The sequence below is a fragment of the Homo sapiens genome, chromosome 2 (assembly GCF_000001405.40).
Source record: "Homo sapiens chromosome 2, GRCh38.p14 Primary Assembly".
Classification (NCBI taxonomy): Eukaryota; Metazoa; Chordata; class Mammalia; order Primates; family Hominidae; genus Homo; species Homo sapiens.
Window position 1 is genome coordinate 174,053,115 of NC_000002.12, and position 17,145 is coordinate 174,070,259.

Genomic DNA, 17,145 nt, shown 5'->3' on the forward strand with positions numbered 1-17,145 from the left:
TTTCAGAGACTTGTATTTAATACTATCACAGTGGGGACCAGACTCCTTTTCCAAGGAGCCACCCAGACCCCTTTTCCAAGGAGCCACCCAGACCCTCAGAAAGCAGTACCTGTGGAAACACAAGTGAACGGGATGAAGAATGATGCGATCTTGTATGAAAGTTTTCAAACAGCCGCCAAGAACAGCAACTCCTCTCCCATCGGCCCTCGGCCCCCCGGGACTCAGTGACTCCAGGTCAGCTGGGATTCCCAGGCTCTACCCTCCCTCCCCTTTAGTACCTAATCCCTTGAAGGGCTGAGATGAAAGTATTTCCAGACTGTCTTACTGTCTGTCACAGATTGTGAGCCCAGAGGTCACTCTGGCACCTCCTTGGCACCCGCTGGTTTTGCAAGAGACCATGGGAAGCACTTGCAGAGTTTCCCTGAACTGTGCTCCACAAAACTGTTCCAAAGTCAAATCAGTGTGGTGGAGGGAAAGGGGGTTTTAGATAGGAACTTTTTCTCGTCCCTCCCAATTCCATACCGTTCCTCCCCCATTGAAGCAGGCGGGGCACAGTGCTCATTACCTTCTGGAGGCTGCTGATCGGACGGAAACAAAGCCAAAGTCCTTGGGAGAATTCAGCTGACTCTCAAGCAAAGGCTGGATGAAGGGAGAGAGACTTACTCCAGCCTGGAAAGGGTTTTTGAGGAGAGAAGAAAAGGGGAAGGGAGACAGGAAGAAAAGGAGAAAAGGGAAGGGGAGGAGGAATGCGGTAGGGAAACAGGAGTCTGGAAGAGAAGTAGGGGGCGGGGAAGGAAGAGGGGAGAGGGAGGAAGCCAGGGTTTGTGGCTCAGGAGAGCCCCAGGCCCAGCCTGCAAGCAGAGCACCAGGGAGGTGGCAGAGACAAAGTGGTCAGGAAGTGCACCTAGACTGGGCTTGCAAACGCAAATGCTTTCAGGAGTCAGGCAGAACGGGTGAAACAGGCCTGAGAGGCAGTGGGAAATAGGAGAGGCTGAATCACAGGGAGGGAAGCATGCACCCCCACCCAGAGGATGAGGATCCCTTTCCCTCGAGCATCTCCCAGAAACTGAGCTCAGTCCTCAGACCTGGCAGATCCTGTGAACAGGGATTCTGGGCGTCTGAGCAGTGCCTGAGTGGATCAACAAGTGAGAACCAGGTGGTGGTGGTGGTTTTTTTCCCTCATCAATCTGGAAGAAAAGGGAGTCAAAATCAGAAATTAAATAGCTTCTTAGACACTTGGGTCTGTGCACCAAAATTTATACCAACGTCCTATGTTTGGGAAATGTTTATTTCACAAAGTTAAACAAATTTCCTTATTGTGGGACTTCTCAGAAATTTTAACATGACAAGATACTACATTCAGGATCTCAGGAAAAGGGATTCAAAAGATCACTAGTGCACTGGTAAATTATTAATAACCAACTTAAGGTTTAAATCAGGGATTTCAAAAATCCTAATTTGACTGCGTGCAGCAGCTCATGCCCATAGTCCCAGTGCCTTGGGAGGTCGAAGTACGAGGATGGCATGAGGCCAGAAGTTTGAGACCAGCCTGGTTAACATAGTGAGACAGCCATCTCTAGAAAAAGTAGGTTAGTCAGGCACAGTGGCCTGTACTTGTAGTCTCAGCTACTCAGGAGGCTGAGGTGGGAGGATTGCTTGAGCCCAGGAGTTTCAGGCTGCAGTGATCTATTAATATGATAGTGCCACTGCACTCTAGCCGTGTGACAGAGCGAGACCCTGTGTCTAAAAATAACAACAACTCTGATTTGTAGCACTGCCAGTTTTCATGGTGTAAATACTGTGATGGGCCATCCTAGCGCCAGAGCTTTCCTTGGGATTGGCTGAGGCCTTTGCTGCTCCACAATTCCCTGATCCCAATACTAGTTCCTTCGCTCCCCAACAAGCGGTGGTGATCCAAAGGGTTCTTTTCCGCAATAAACTTCTTGCATGCTAGTGTCTGCCTTGGAGATGTCTCCCAGGCAACTTGACCCAAGACTGGTCCTTTTACTCACAGTCATGAGTTATAAAAAGAATTTGCTTCCTTTTTTTTTTTTTTTTTTTTGAGATTGAGTTTTGCTCTTGTTGCCCAGGCTGGAATGCAATCACGCGATCTCTGCTCACCGCAACATCCACCTCTCGGGTTCAAGTGATTCTCCTGACTCAGCCTCCTGAGTAGCTGGGATTACAGGCATGTGCCATCATCCCCAGCTAACTTTTTGTATTTTTAATAGAGATGGGGTTTCTCCATGTTGGTCAGGCTGGTCTTGAACCCCCGACCTCTGGTGATCCGCCTACCTCGGCCTCCCAAAGTGCTGGGATTACAAGCATGAGCCACCGCGCCCGGCAGAATTTGCTTCTTGATTCATTATGATATTTCTGCATAGTTCGGGTTGATTATGCCTATGCCAGAATCTGATCTATATGGCATAACATACAGAAGGAATAAAAGACAGGGTCCCTGTGGTAACCAGCCTCTAAGATGGCCCCAAATGATTCCTGCTTCCTGGTATTCATGACCCTGTGGAGAACTGATGTAGGTACCCAATAGGATATTTTGGAAATGACAGTGTTTGACTCCTGAGCCTGGGCCATAAAAGACCTATGGCTTTTGCCTTGCTCTTGCTTGAGTCACTCACTCTGGAGAAAGCCAGATGCCATGTTATGAGGGCTCCTGAGTGGCTCTGGGAAGTAGCTCCACCAAACAGTCCACATGGTGAGAAACTGAGTAGCTCCAGTTTTGCGGTCACGAGAGTGAGCTACCTCGGGAGTACTGTCTGCAGCTCCAGCCCGGCCCTTGGATTGCTGTGCACAGATGAGCTGCTTCCACCGACTTCTGGCTTGCAAAAACTGCTAGGTCATAAATGTTATTGTTGTTTGAAGATGTAAATCTGGGGTGACTTGTTATGCAGCACTGTATAACTAATACAGCACCTAATCTATAAGAGCTTTATAACTTCACAGGGGAGAAAAGATGGATCTGAATATGTAAAACTGTGAAATAAACCAGTATGTATGAACCATATACCAACTGTCACAAGTTCTGAGAAATGAGAGGAGGAAAGAAGGAGGCTGTACAGTTGACAAACAAGGACCCCCAATTAGGAGGTCAATATTAGAAGAAAAGGAGGTTCGAAGAAAGGCAGGACCACATCTTGGGTTCTCTCCATTTTTGTTTTTTGTTTATTTTTTTGAGACGGTCTTGCTCTGTTACCTAGGCTGGAGTGCAGTGGCATGATCTTGGCTCACTGCAGCCTCTGCTCCCGGGCTCAAGTGATCCTCCCACCTCAGCCTCCCTAGCAGCTGGGACGACAGGTGCAAACCACCATGCCTGGCAATTTTTTTTTTGTATTTTTAGTAGAGACAGGGTTTCACCATGTTGGTCAGGCTAGTCTCAAACTCCTGACCTCCTGATCCGCCCGCCTTGGCCTCCCAAAATGCTGGAATTACAGGCATAAGCCACCGTGCCCGGCCATTTCCTTTTTGAAGAAACCAAATTCTTGAGGAGTTTATGCAAATATTCTTTGCAAAATGTGAAATGCACTTGAAAATCAAGAATACATCTTTAGCTGGGCACAGTGGCACACACCTATAGTCCCAGCTACTCAGGAGACTGAGGTGGGAAGATTGCTTGAGCACAGGAGCTGGAGACTAGCCAACACAGCAAGACCCCAACTAGGCAACACAGCAAGACCCCATCTCTGAAAAAAAAAAACCCTAAAAATAAAAAAATAGATATATCTTTAAAACAACATGTAAGTCAAACAAACTACTTTTGGTAAGGAAATTCAGCCTTATAAAAGTGCAAAAAATTTACCAAAACACAAAAGTGGTTTACCAGTCTGTTACATACCATCATCTATGCTGGGTTGAGAAATTAAAGGATATTTATTTGTCAGATTGATTTAAATTAAAGAATAAAATAACTCAGTTCCTGGTGGGTTGGTTTCCACACTGGAGCAATGGAGAGACTCCTAAAATAAAGGTAAAATAAAGGATATCTATTTAGATGAGAGGAGGAAACAAACAAATAAAAGCTCCTCAACCAACCAGAGAAAATTAATCCCTCTTTCCAGTCTTCACTGTTTTTCATTTTGCTTTGCTTTGTTTCCTTAAGGAAATTTAAAACATAGTGGAAGTCACGATGGCATGGAAATGATGGCTGGGAAAGCATCCCGGTACCTTTTCATGTTGCCTGAATCTCGCTCAAGATATCAGTTTCCAATGGAATGGGGAAATCTGTGTAAACCAAATAGAATATTAAAGTACACGAACAAGCAGCCTGAAAAAAAAAGTTCAATAAAGTAAATGAACAAATATATAAAACAGATAGCCAACTTCACCAGTAAAGAAATGCAAACTAAACCACAAGGAGATTGAAATGTTAAAAATCGATTGGATTGGTAAAGACTAAAAAGGTTGATAATGCTCAGTAGTTGGGGGTCTGGGAATCGAGCACACCATGGGGTGAGGTGGGAACGTTAACTGGTACAACCATTTTATTTTATTTTATTTTATTTTGTTTTGATTTATGTATTTATGTATTTATGTATGTATGTATTTATTTTTTTAAGACAGAATCTCCCTCTGGCTCCCAGGCTGGAGTGCAGTGGCATGATCTTGGCTCATTGCAACCTCTGCCTCCCAGGTTCAAGCAATTCTCCTGCCTCAGCTTCGCAAGTAGTTGGGACTACAGGTGCGCACAACCATGCCCAACTAATTTCTGTATTTTTAGTAGAGATGGGATTTTGCCATGTTGGCCAGGCTGATCTCTAACTCCTGACCCCGAGTGATCTGCCTGTATTGGCCTCCCAAAGTGCTGGGATTACAGGCATAAGCCACTGTGCCCGGCCATGGTACAACCGTTTCAGACAGCAATTTGACACCACCCAGCAATGCATACCCTTTGATCCAGCAATTCCATTCCCAGGAATTTATCCTAAATGTGAAAGTATATGTAGAAGCTCAAGCATATTCACTGCAGCCTTTTGGGAATAATGGGAAAATTAGAAATCTCAATGTACACAAGAGAGGGCTGGCTACATAAACAAATAAATGAGAACAAACACGTGGTGCCTGCTTATTCTGTGCCAGCATTCTTCTAGGAGCTCTATGCACATGAAGTCACGTGATCTCTCAAGATCCCTTAGACTTGGTTCCTGTCTTAGGAGAGTTCAGCCTTACAAACAAATATCACTCAGCCATCAAAAAGCTCAGGAATAGGTCCAGATGTGCTGACACAAAAAATACTCATGACATGGAAGTGATAAAAGGAAGTTTCAGGGAAAGCTATGGAGCACAATCTCATTTATGATTTAAAAAGAGACTGTGCATACATGTTTATATTTATACAGAAAATGTCTGGAAAGATAAACCAGAAGGAAACAGTTAACAGAGAAATCCTCTGGAGAAAGCCAGGGAAGGGAGGAGAACCCTCCATTTTTTACCTAATATCTTTCTTTTTGGTTTTATTTTTAAAAAATAAAGCCCAGAGTCAGCCAAACTGCAAAGGCTGAGGTCACAATTCCTAACCCTGCTTTCATTTTGGACACTGACCTCAACTTTGGGGGATTCCCCCAAACTACTCTCAGATTGGATAATTCACTAGGAGGACCCGCTGAATTTATTGAAAGCTATTATACTCATGGTTTTGATTTATTATAGAGAAAAGATACAGATTAGAATTAGCCAAAGAAAGAGACACACAGGGCAGTCTGGGAGGCTTATCAAACATGAAGCTTCCATTGTCCTCTCCTGTGGAGTTAGAACACATTACCTTCCTGGCATCTGTGTGTGAGGATACACCTTGAGTACTGTCAACCAAAGAGGTACAAGCAAATTTCAGTGTCCAGAGTTTTTATTGGAGCTTCATTCTGTAGGCCTGATGGGTTTATTGATTGCCCACATGGCTGATCTCATTCTGAAAGTCAGCTGACACTACATGACCCAAATTCTCACCCTAAATCACACTGCTGGGTCTTTCTGGCATGGCCAGTATGTACCCCAGGATCCAGTGTGGTTATCTCATCCCCTAAACCAAGATACTCTTATAAGTTATGACTGAGGTTAATCCCAGAAGCTGAGGGCAAAGGCCAGATCACCCTCTGGGCAAGACCAAATGCTTCACTACACATTGTTAGAATGAAGACATGGAATAGCCATGTGGCTAATTGTTTTTCCACGTGCTGCCTGGTGCATGGGCCAGTTTCTAAGCTGTGTGTTTATGTAAGATGATTCATCTTCACTGAGACGCTCTGATCATGTGGACTTTTGTTTTGTGTTTTCTTAGATTCTGTATTTGTCTGTTTGGTATTCATTAGTCACAAGGCCAAATTAATGGCCATGATTATTTCTATTTCCTCTGCAATCCAGGTTTCCCAGATGCACAAAAATCATATTACAAACCCTCTAACCAATCATTTGAGTCCATACTCCCAAACACTTCCTTATCTCACTCTTACACACCAGCCAGTATTTCCTCTGCCCGAAATCACCCAGGGCCAGGTACCAGACAACTACAGACCACTCCTATAGCCCAGAGCCTGCCCAAATTATTTGAAATAGCCAATCCTACACTGTTTCTCCTGCCCCGCCTTGTTTTTCCCAAGGCAACCGCAATAAACGCTGTGGCCTGGGCTTTCTTCTCACCACTTCTCCTTCCTGACCTAACCTGGTGCTTCCCCATGTGGCCCTGCATGCATGATGTGCCCTCATCCCTTGGCAAATACAACTCATAAATTCTTCTTCCAATGACATGGCCTCTCCATGTCATCACTCAATCCCCTCCCTGAATTAGAATCTCCAGTAAAATTGAAACAACTTTTAAATCTCTGATCTACAGGCCTGGGTTTCAGTAGGTCAATAGTCCTTACTGCCTGGTGCAGGCCTGGGCTCATGCATACTTGTTAAATCTAATGAACAGTCTGGGTGCAGTGACTCATGCCTGTAATCCCAGCACTGTGGGAGACAGGGGAAGACAGTTTGCTTGAGCCCAGGAGTTTGAGACCAGACTGGGACACATGGCAAAACCCCATCTCTACCAAAAATACGAAAATTACTCAGGCATGGTGGCATGCGCCAGTAGTCCCAGCTACTCAGAAGGCTGACACAGGAGGATCGCTTGAGCCCAGGAGGTGAGCTGTGATGGGGGCCACTGCACTTCAGCCTGGGTGACACAGCAAGACCCTGTCTCAAAAAAAAAAAAAAATATAATAAATTTTACACTATCAGTTTTTGCTCTAGTGATGAAGGAGATAAATTATTCATCTTGCTTAATGCAATCAGTACTTGATGTGGAATCTGAAAATATGTTAAGCTACTTTCAGAAATGCTCATCAGCCTGCATATCTGCACTGTAAAAGTTCCGTCCTAACTTGTTCAGTGTTCTTTTATCACCCTCCTTTCTCCTCCTTCTTCCCCACACCCTGCCCCTAATTCATTTAGTTAAGCAAATAACCTGTATCCACTGCCAATAACTAAATCTGCCTGGATCACCTTAGAAGCTAAAACCCAGAATGAAAAAAAAAAGTTATGCTTCTTTCATTTGGGCTTGTTGCATGGTTTACTTTAGGCTCTGAGTAAGTGCTATTTTATTATTGTTTTTGCTTGTTACTATCAGGGGATTTCAGGAACTGATTTTAATATAAATGCCTTAATTGTACTCTCAGGAAAAGATATGAAAACAGAAAACCTGATAAATCAGTTGATTCTGTAACTCTCCACATTGTTGTCATCTGTGAAACTGACTTAGCAGTCCCCACGATGAGGTCTGGCCATATTCCCACATTTTCAGGGACACAAGGTGTAAAGATATGAAGGAACTGGAAAGGACAAAAAGTGTGAAAAAATATCAACAAATTTAAGCCTCCAGTGATAAATATGGGTAAAGTGCTGAAGTGATAGACGAATAAGGTTAACAAAGGCCAAGCCATAAAGGATGAGGAATATTTTGGGTTTTAATAATACAGGTGAGCTTTTACAGAAAAAAAAGTTACTGCCTCAGGCAAGAGTAACTGTTTATGGTGGGTTTCCAATAATTCTCAAAGTTTGATCCAGTTAAGAACTCAAATTCTGAACCAGAAAGTTTAAAAAACATTTTAAAGAAGAAAACCTTAAAATAGCTATTTAGGCTGGGCATAGTGGCTGATGCCTATAATCCTAGCACTTTTGGGAGGTCGAGGTGGGAGGATCACTTGAGGTCAGGAGTTTGAGACCGGCCTGGGTAACATAGCAAGACCCCCATCTCTACAAAAAAATAAAAAAATAGTTGGGCATGGTGGTGGTATGCGCCTGTAGTCCTAGCTACTTGGGAGGCTGATGCAGTAGGATCACTTGAGACCAAGAGTTTGAGGCTGCAGTGAGCCATGATTGTACTACTGTACTCCAGCCTGGGTGACAGACCATGACTTTGTCTCTAAAAAATTTTTTTAATAAAATAAGATGGTTGTTTAGAAATACTGACATTCTCTTCTCTATAGATGAGTTATTAAAACATTATTTTATTTTTAATATCCCACTTAGCCAAACTGCACTAGAAAACCAGAAGAATCTAGTTCTAGAAAACACTTTGCTTTTGTAATACTCTTCGGTATTTAACAGTACTTAACAAGCTAGTAAGGAACCATAGCTTTACAGCCAAGTGGGGGATGGGGAATTGTTTTTGCTAAGCCAGGATGAAGGTGTTAGTTATATATGCTCTTGAGCATAGCAAGTTCTGTGAACTCAGATGTATCTGGAGGCTTTTAGCCACAAGTTACAGAATATTCAACTACAAGTGACTGAAATCATGAGGGCATTTAATTCTTACACAAAAGATGACGTCTGTGGGCGGCTGCTCCAACCCGGATTGGCTAACAGTCTAGGGGCTGCTTCTCTGCCTCTCGGTTTTCCTTTCCATAGCTCCAAATACAGTCCTTCATCAAATCTATTTTCAAATAAAAAAAAAGGAATGATGTCCAGCGGGCCCTGGAATTCACCCCAAGCCCTCGCAGGAGGAGGAGGGTGAATGGATAGCTTGGCCAGGCACCGTGGCTCACGCCTGTAATCCCAGCACTTTGGGAGGCTGAGGCGGGTGGATCCCTTGAGCCCAGGAGGCAAAAGTTGCAGTGAGCAACCCCTGCACTCCAGCCAGGGCAACAGAGCAAGACCTTGTCTCAAAACATTAAAAAAAAGAGACAAAATGGATAGCTTTTCTTGTCTCCCTTTTTGTATCAGGGAGGAAAAATTTCCCTGGCAAAGCTTTGCCAAGCCTGCTCCCCAGACCCTCATACTTTCCAGGCCAGAGCTGGCTCACCTGCCTAGCCCTATCACTGGCAAAGGAGAAGTGGGATATCATGATGAATTTAGAGCCATAATGATTCATTTTCTGAAGCTGAGCACACTCGCTGTCTATGGAGCAAAATGAGATTTTGTTGGCAAGGAAAAGGGGGGTGTGGTGGGTTTGTGAGACGGCGATGGTTAAACAATCAATAGTGTTTGTGATGTCTGGAGGCATTAACAGGTGAAAGGTGGGACCCTGGTCCCAATGCCTGAGTTCATCATTACTATTCAATGAGTGCATAATAAGGAAATACATCTTCCATTTGCTATATTGTGAAATTGGATAAAGCCCTCAGTCAAACCAGATATCCTACGTGGCTTTGTAGGAGTTAAGTCACAGAATAGGCTCCTTCCTTGGAAATAAAACTTGACCAAGTCTCTTCCCTAGAAATACAGTTCTTCATTAAATCTATTTTCAAGTTTAAAGTAATGATGTCCCAAGGTCCTTGGAATTCACCCCAAAATGACGCAAATACAATAAGCCAAATGGCTGAAATCACTTACACACAACATTTGACCAAAGCAAATCAGCTTGCTCTCATGCTGTGATCAGAAGAGCAGCAAACTGGAGGCTTTGTTTGAAGCAAAAAGAACACTGAATTCTAAAGACAAGGATCCTCAGGGGGAGAAGAGAGAGATTAGTAAACAGGGTTAGTTAATCCACTCAGACAAGAGCCTCAAAAGTTCAAGGGGTGGTCTGTTGCCTGCACTTCCATGGGATTTCAAAGGATTGCAGTGAGAGGCCGGGAACCAAACACGTCACTCTCCGCAGCCGCTGTCCCATTTATATCATTGATATCAGCAGCCAGGACTGCTCTATTCTACGAAAGGGATGGAACTTTCTCGAAGAAGTGTAGTTGCCCCAAATAGAGACTGCTCAGATTTGGCGGGCCTCTTGAGAGCAAGAACTGAGGAATCTTATCACAAAAATGGGAAGATAAAAGGCAGAGCCTAATGAGAGAACACTGAAACCCTCGTATTTTTTATTCCCTGGAGCAAAGTAAAGAACAGGCATAGAGGAGTCAGAGGGCCTGGTTCTCCTAGGACTGACCCCCACTGGGAAGCGCTGTAGACCGCCCAGGTTGATAAAATGTTGTCACCCTGTGAAAGCAACACAATCCAGTAACTAAAGCGTTCATGAACGGGGGGCCCTGCAGGGTTCTGTGTTAGCTCTTGGAATCTAGGTTCAAAAAACAAAAAACAACAGGGCACGTTGAAGAGGGCTGTGTCAAAATTTCTCCTTTCCCTTCACACCCACGCCTTCCACACCCACTCTGCTGATGGCGTTCACTCCAATTTCATTGAGAAAATGGAAGCTACACATCTAGCCCTGCCTTCCCTCCTATTTACTGGAAGCATTCCTGCTTCTACCAACTGTCAGTCCCTCCACCTATGCTCCAGTTCTCATCCCCTGTAGCTTCTTAAGGACTGGGTCTCTTTCGTCACCCCTCTCCCTCTTGCTTCATCAGCCTCCAGCTCTCCTCCTCTCGGGAACATTCCCCTCAACATCCAGACATGCCCCGGCACGCTCCGTTGCTAAAAAATCTACAGCCAGCCAACCAACCAACCAACCAACCAACCAACCAACCAACAAAAAAACCTCTTTGCTTCCCATCTCCCCCATTTCCATTTCTCTTGTCCCCTTTCTGGCAAAACTTCTCAAAAGAGTAATCTGAACTTGCTTTCAAATTAAACAGAACTTGTCCAGCAGCACCTTTTTTTTTTTTTTTTTTTTTTTTTTTTAGAGTCAGAGTCTTGCTCTGTCACTCGGGCTGAAAAGCAGTGGCACAATCATCACATCCAGCTAATTTTTAGTTTTTATTTTTTGATAGAGACAGTCTTGCAATGTTACCCAGGCTGATCTTGAACTCCTGGCCTCAAGTGATACTCCCATCTTGGCCTCTCAACGTGCTGGATTTTTTTTTTCTTGTTTTCTTTTTCTTTTTTTTTTTGTTGAGATGGAGTCTTGCTCTGTCGCCCAGGCTGGAGTGCGGTGGCGTGATCTCGGCTCACTGCAAGCTCCGCCTCCCGGCTTCACGCCATTCTCCTGCCTCAGCCTCCCGAGTAGCTGGGACTACAGGCGCCTGCCACCTCACCTGGCTCATTTTTGTATTTTTAGTGGAGATGGTGTTTCACCATGTTGGCCAGTCTGGTCTCAAACTCCTGACCTCAGGTGATCCGCCCGCCTCAGCCTCCCAAAGTGCTGGGATTATAGGCGTGAGCCACCGTGCCCCACCCTCAAGCAGAACATCTTTCATCTTCATTTTTTTCAACTGCTCAGCAACATTTGCTGTCTTCTTGAAACCGTTTCTGTCTCCCAGCTGCTCTGACACTAGCCTCTCTGGGTTTGCTCCTCTCTCATTGGCTTCTTCTTCTTCTTCTTCTTTTTTTTTTTTTTTTAGACAAGATCTCGCTCTGTTGCCCAGGCTGCAGTGCAGTGGCACCATTTCTGCTCACTGCAACCTCTGCCTCTTGAGTTCAAGGGATCCTCCCACCTCAGCCTCCTGAGTAGCTGGGATTACAGCTGTGCACCAGCACGCCTGGCTAATTTTTGTACTTTTAGTAGAAATGGGGTTTCACCATGTTGGCCAGGCTGGTCTTGAACTCCTGGCCTCAAGTGATCTGCCTGCCTCAGCCTCCCAAAGTGCTGGGATTACAGGCATGGGCCACCGCGCCCGGCCTCGGCAGTTTTTTTGCTGCGATTTGCTGGCCCCTCCTCTTTCCAGAGACCTTTTGCATCAGGCTCATTTCTGGGCCTTCTCCTCTTTCTGTTCTCACCTGTCTAAGGTGAGCTATTCTGGCCCTCAGGTTTTAAGTAATATCCATATAGTAATGATTCTAAATTTATATACCTGCTTCCTCAAACTTTCCTCTGAGCTTCCAATTGAGACACAACAATTGGTCTTGGTATCTACCCAGTCTGATATCTACCCAAGAGTGTTTAATGGCCATCTCCAACCTATCCTCAAGACATTGAATTGGGTTGTTCGTTTTCTTATTTTTGAGTTTTAAGTTCTTTGCATATTTTGGATAACAGTCCAGAAATGTTCTTTATCAGATATGTCCTTTGCAAATATTTTCTCCCAGTCTGTAGCTTGTCTTCTCATTCTCTTGACAGTTTTTCACAGAGAAGTTTTTAATTCTAATGCAGGCCAGCTTATCAATTCTTTCTTTTGTGGATCATGTCTTTGGTGTTGTATCTAGAAAAAGTCATCGCCAAACCCAAGCTCATCTAGGTTTTCTCCTGTGTTATCTTCTAGGAGTTTTATAGTTTTGGGTTTTACCTTTAGGTCTATGATTCATTTTGAGTTAATTTTTGTAAAAAGAGTAAGGTCTGTATGTCAAGATTTAGTTTTTTGCATGTGAATGTCCAGTTGTTCCAGCACTATTTGTTGAAAAGGCTATCTCTGCTCCATTTTATTGCCTTTGCTCCTTTGTCAAAAATCAGTTGACTACATTTATGTGGGTCTTTTTCTGGGCTCTCCATTTTGTTCTATTGATTTTTTTTTTAATCTATTTTTTCACCAGCACCACACTTTCTTGGATTACTGTAGCTTTATAGTAAGTTTTTTTTTTTTCTTTTTTTTTGAGACTGAGTTTCACTCTTATTGCCCAGGCTGGAGTGTAATGGCATGATCTCAGCTCACTGCCACCTCTGCCTCCCAGGTTCAAGTGATTCTCCTGTCTCAGCCTCCTGAGTAGCTGGGATTACAGGCATGCGCCACCATGCCCATCTGATTTTGTATTTTTAGCAGAGGCGGGGTTTCTCCATGTTGGTCAGGCTGGTCTGGAACTCTTGACCTCAGGTGATCCATCCACCTCGACCTCCCAAAGTGCTGGGATTACAGGCGATTACAGGTGTGAGCCACTGCACTCAGCCTTTTTTTTTTTTTTTGAGACACAGTCTCACTCTGTTGCCCAGGCTGGAGTGCCATGGTACAATCTCTGCTCACTGCAACCTCTGCCTCCTGGGTTCAAGCAATCCTCCTACCTCAGCCTCCAGAGTAGCTGGGATTACAGGCACTCACCACCACACCCAGCTAAATTTTATATTTTTAGTAGAGATGGAGTTTCACCATGTTGGCCAGGCTGGTCTCAAACTCCTGGTCTCAAGTGATCCACCCACCTTGGCCTCCCAAAGTGCTGGGATTATAGGCGTGAGACACAGCCCCTGGCTGCTTTATGGTAAGTCTTGAAGTCAGGTAGTGTCATCTACATTCAAAACAGTTTCTTGATTCCCGCCTCCGCACACACTCTCACACCTGTTTGACTCCCAAGTCTTTCCCATCTCAGTCAATGGCACCACCATGCATCCACGTGCTTAGGCTAAAAACCTACAAATCATTCTTGATTCTTTCCTTCCCAACTTGCATCCAGCCCATCAATATGTCTTCTCAATCCTTCCTCCAGCGAACAGTGCAAATCAGGTTGCATCTTTCTGTTTCTACTAAGTTCGAGAGTGAATCTCGTTGGTACTACTATAACTGTTGTACCTTTTGTCCTCTACAATGGAACAGGCGTGAGTGACCACACTCAGCCCGAGTGGGTTTTTTATGACATGTTGAAATCAGATGGGGATGAAGCTTCAGTGTAAGTCTCTTAGGAGAAAAGTAAAGCCCTGCACTGTCCAATTCAGTAGCCTCAAGCCATATGACGTCACTGAGCACTGGAAACGTGGCCAGTTTGAATCCAGATGTGTTGTAAGAATAAAATATACTCTAGGTTTTAAAAACTTTGTATGAAAGTAAGTATTCTAAAATCTTATTAATAATTTTAGGTTGATTACATGTTAAAATGACGACATTTTGGACATATTGAGTTAAATAAATCATTAATATGAATTTTGTTTCTTTTCAAAAATGTGGTTTTGCTGGGCATGGTGGCTTATGCCTGTAGTCCCAGCTACCGGGGAGGCTGAGGCAGGAGAATGGCGTGAACCCGGGAGGCGGAGCTTGCAGTGAGCCCAGGTGGCACCACTGGACTCCAGCCTGGGCGACGCAGCGAGACTCCGTCACAAAAAAAAAAAAAAAAAAAAAAAAAAAAAGCCAAAGCCAAAAATGCGGTTGCTAGGAACGTTTAAATTACATGTATGTGCCCCGTTAAGGGTCTATCAGGCCATGCTGCCCTGGACAGTCATGGCTGTAGGCTGCAGTTCTCTGGCCCCTGACCTCCCTGCTTCCCGCTCCCCCAGCCTCTCCTCCTCCTCTCCTCTGTACGTCAGCCAGCACCTCAGCTTCGTCCTCACAGGGGACTCTCACGGCTGGAAAGACTTGGTAAGATGGCAGAGGGGTTCGGAAGCCAGGTTATTTTTCAAAGTCTAGCTCTCATGTTCAAAACCCTCTAATGGCTATTTCAGTTAGAGTAAAATCCCAGTTCTTTATCATACATGCAAGGTCCTGCCTGACCCCCTCTCTCATTGTGCTTCAGGCTCTTTCCTGTCTCACAGCCTCTACGTTTGCTGGTCCTCCTGCCTGGGAGGCTCCCACCACACTTGCTTTGACGGCTGGATCATTTCCACTTAAGTCTTGGCTTAAATGAATTATCATTTAACTTAAATAAGTTATCAAATATGATGTAATAATTCTAGATGTATTTTTACATTGCTTTCAAATCTTCAGTTCTTTAAGAGGAAATTACATAACAAGATGTATAGGATGATCCAATTAATATGTAGATGTATACATATTTGTAAATATATTGATAACTATTTAGAAGGATACATACCAGTTAACTGAGGTTACCTCTGGGGTCACACTCTATTGTTCTGCAAGGTAGTTTTTCACAAAGCAGTGTGATTAAGAAATCTCTCTATGCCAGCTCATATAAGATGTACTTTATTCTATTTTTTTTTTTTTTTTTTTTTTTTTTTTTTTTTTGAGATGGAGTCTTGCTTTGTCACCCAGGTTGGAGTGCAGTGGCGTGATCTCGGCTCACTGGAACCTCCATCTCCTGGATTCATGCAATTCTTCTGCCACAGCCTCCCGAGTAGCTGGGATGATAGGCATGCACCACCACGCCTGGCTAATTTTTGTATTTTTAGTAGAGACAGGGTTTCACCATATTGGTCAGGCTGGTTTTGAACTCCTGACTTCAAGTGATCCACCCACCTCAGCCTCCCAAAGTGCTGGGATTACAGGTGTTAGCCACCACACCCAGCCAAGGATGTACTTTATTCTTTTAATGGCTGACAGTATTCTTTTGTATGGATGTATTACAGTACATGTCACCATTTTCCTGTATTGATGCACATTTAAATAGTTTCCAATTGTTTTTGCTACTACAATTGAATCTTACTATAACTGATATGTATTTCAATTCTTTGGATCATAGAAAATAATTTACCTTCTCTTCTACAGGAGCCAGTTCTTTATTATAGTTTGAAATAATATTATAGTATGAAATAATATACCCTGTTCAATTGTGAAATGTGGTCATTCTAAGCATGAACAATTTTTTTGTGTGCACTTTATATGTTGATATAATTTCTAGTCAACATCTTTAAAATTTTACTGAACATATGCAGTTTATGAAGCCTCAATATTCTCATTTCTTTAGGATGAGTACTTCTTTATGATTTTTCTGGTACTAATAATTTGGAGAAGAGAGAGTAAGGTTAAAAAAAAAAGAGAGAACCACAAGGATGTTTGTTTTCTCATCTCTACTTACCCTTAATCGTTTACTTTTTTTTAAAAAGAAACTGCTTCTGAGTGTACTAGGCAGGATTCAATGGGAAAATCATGAATTGCTGAAAATTTTCAAGCTTATTTGATCAAAACTGATGGAATCTTCATTGTACTCACCCAACCTTGTTTTATTCATTAAGGCCAATATGAATCATTCAATGCAAAGAATGCTATACTGTACTGGTTTTAAAATTATGGACAATCTTTTTTTTTTTTACAGAGGAAATAATTAGCTCTGCAATTTTGGTTAGGTAATTTATCTGTATCTGTACAAGAAAATGAATAATGGCAGAGAAAACCAGAGACGTACGCTGTAGCCAGATCATCAGCTGTTAAGCTGAGATGTTTGGACTTCCTGACTCTTTTTCTTTTTTTTCTTGGTTGTCCAAGACCCCCTAAAGCACTTCAGTAACACTGTGTTCAATAGAATTTTGTGGCTACTCTGAAAGTCTAATCACAATTTTCTGTGAGAAAATTAATTCCAACTTACAAATAACTAATTTATAAATTAATTTTTGGCAGTTTATTATTTCACTACTGGTCATTGTGGTTAGTATTATTTAATCTAGCTATGTGACTTCAGGTAAGCCACTTAATCTTCCGCCTTCTCAGTAACTTCTTTCATAGTAGATGAGTTAAGCAAGATACTCTCAAACGACATTTTCAGTCTGAAAATTCAGTGATTTACCTGAAATCCTGACGTGTTATTAGCAAGATGTCAACACTTACCACTCAATACCCAAATTTCCTTTCAGAGTATTCTTTAGCAACGTTAAAATATTAACATTTCTTCCTCAGGGTAGGTAAAGTAACAGAAAAACATGCTCCGTAATTTCCTTGTGTGTTATATATAAAGATTGGGCCTGTTAATGGTGCTTCCTTTTAGGTGATGTTAAAAAGAACTGTACGGGAATTGGCATTTCTTGAGCGGCTTATATCTGGAATTCTCCTCAGTCCTTTGATACTAGGCCATTTAATCCACACATTAGCGTTATCTTCATTATACATAGGAAGAATATAAGGCCGGAAGAGTTAACTCACACAAGATGACATCTAAGTGGCGGAAGTGGAATCTGATTCCAGATCTGATCAAAAGCTCTTTCCACTCTATAAAGCTGTGTTCATAACACAACAGGAGTTATAAACT

At 43.1% G+C, this 17,145-nt stretch overlaps 1 long non-coding RNA gene across 1 annotated transcript, besides 1 other annotated feature; it reads right to left on the minus strand.

The window, feature by feature from the left end:
- Nucleotides 1–7,635: 7,635 nt before the first annotated feature.
- On the minus strand, nt 7,636–9,517 carry LOC105373746 (uncharacterized). The gene is made up of 3 exons (XR_923589.3): nt 9,290–9,517; nt 8,804–8,920; nt 7,636–7,817 (listed from the first exon to the last, which is right to left on the minus strand). It is a non-coding gene; the product is annotated as an uncharacterized LOC105373746 (long non-coding RNA).
- Nucleotides 9,781–10,400: an enhancer, noted in NCBI's record as "NANOG-H3K27ac-H3K4me1 hESC enhancer chr2:174927623-174928242 (GRCh37/hg19 assembly coordinates)". NCBI's record gives its function as "activates a minimal SCP1, AML or CMV promoter by ChIP-STARR-seq in primed H9 embryonic stem cells {active_cell/tissue: H9 hESC(primed)}" and the evidence as "EXISTENCE:reporter gene assay evidence [ECO:0000049][PMID:30033119]".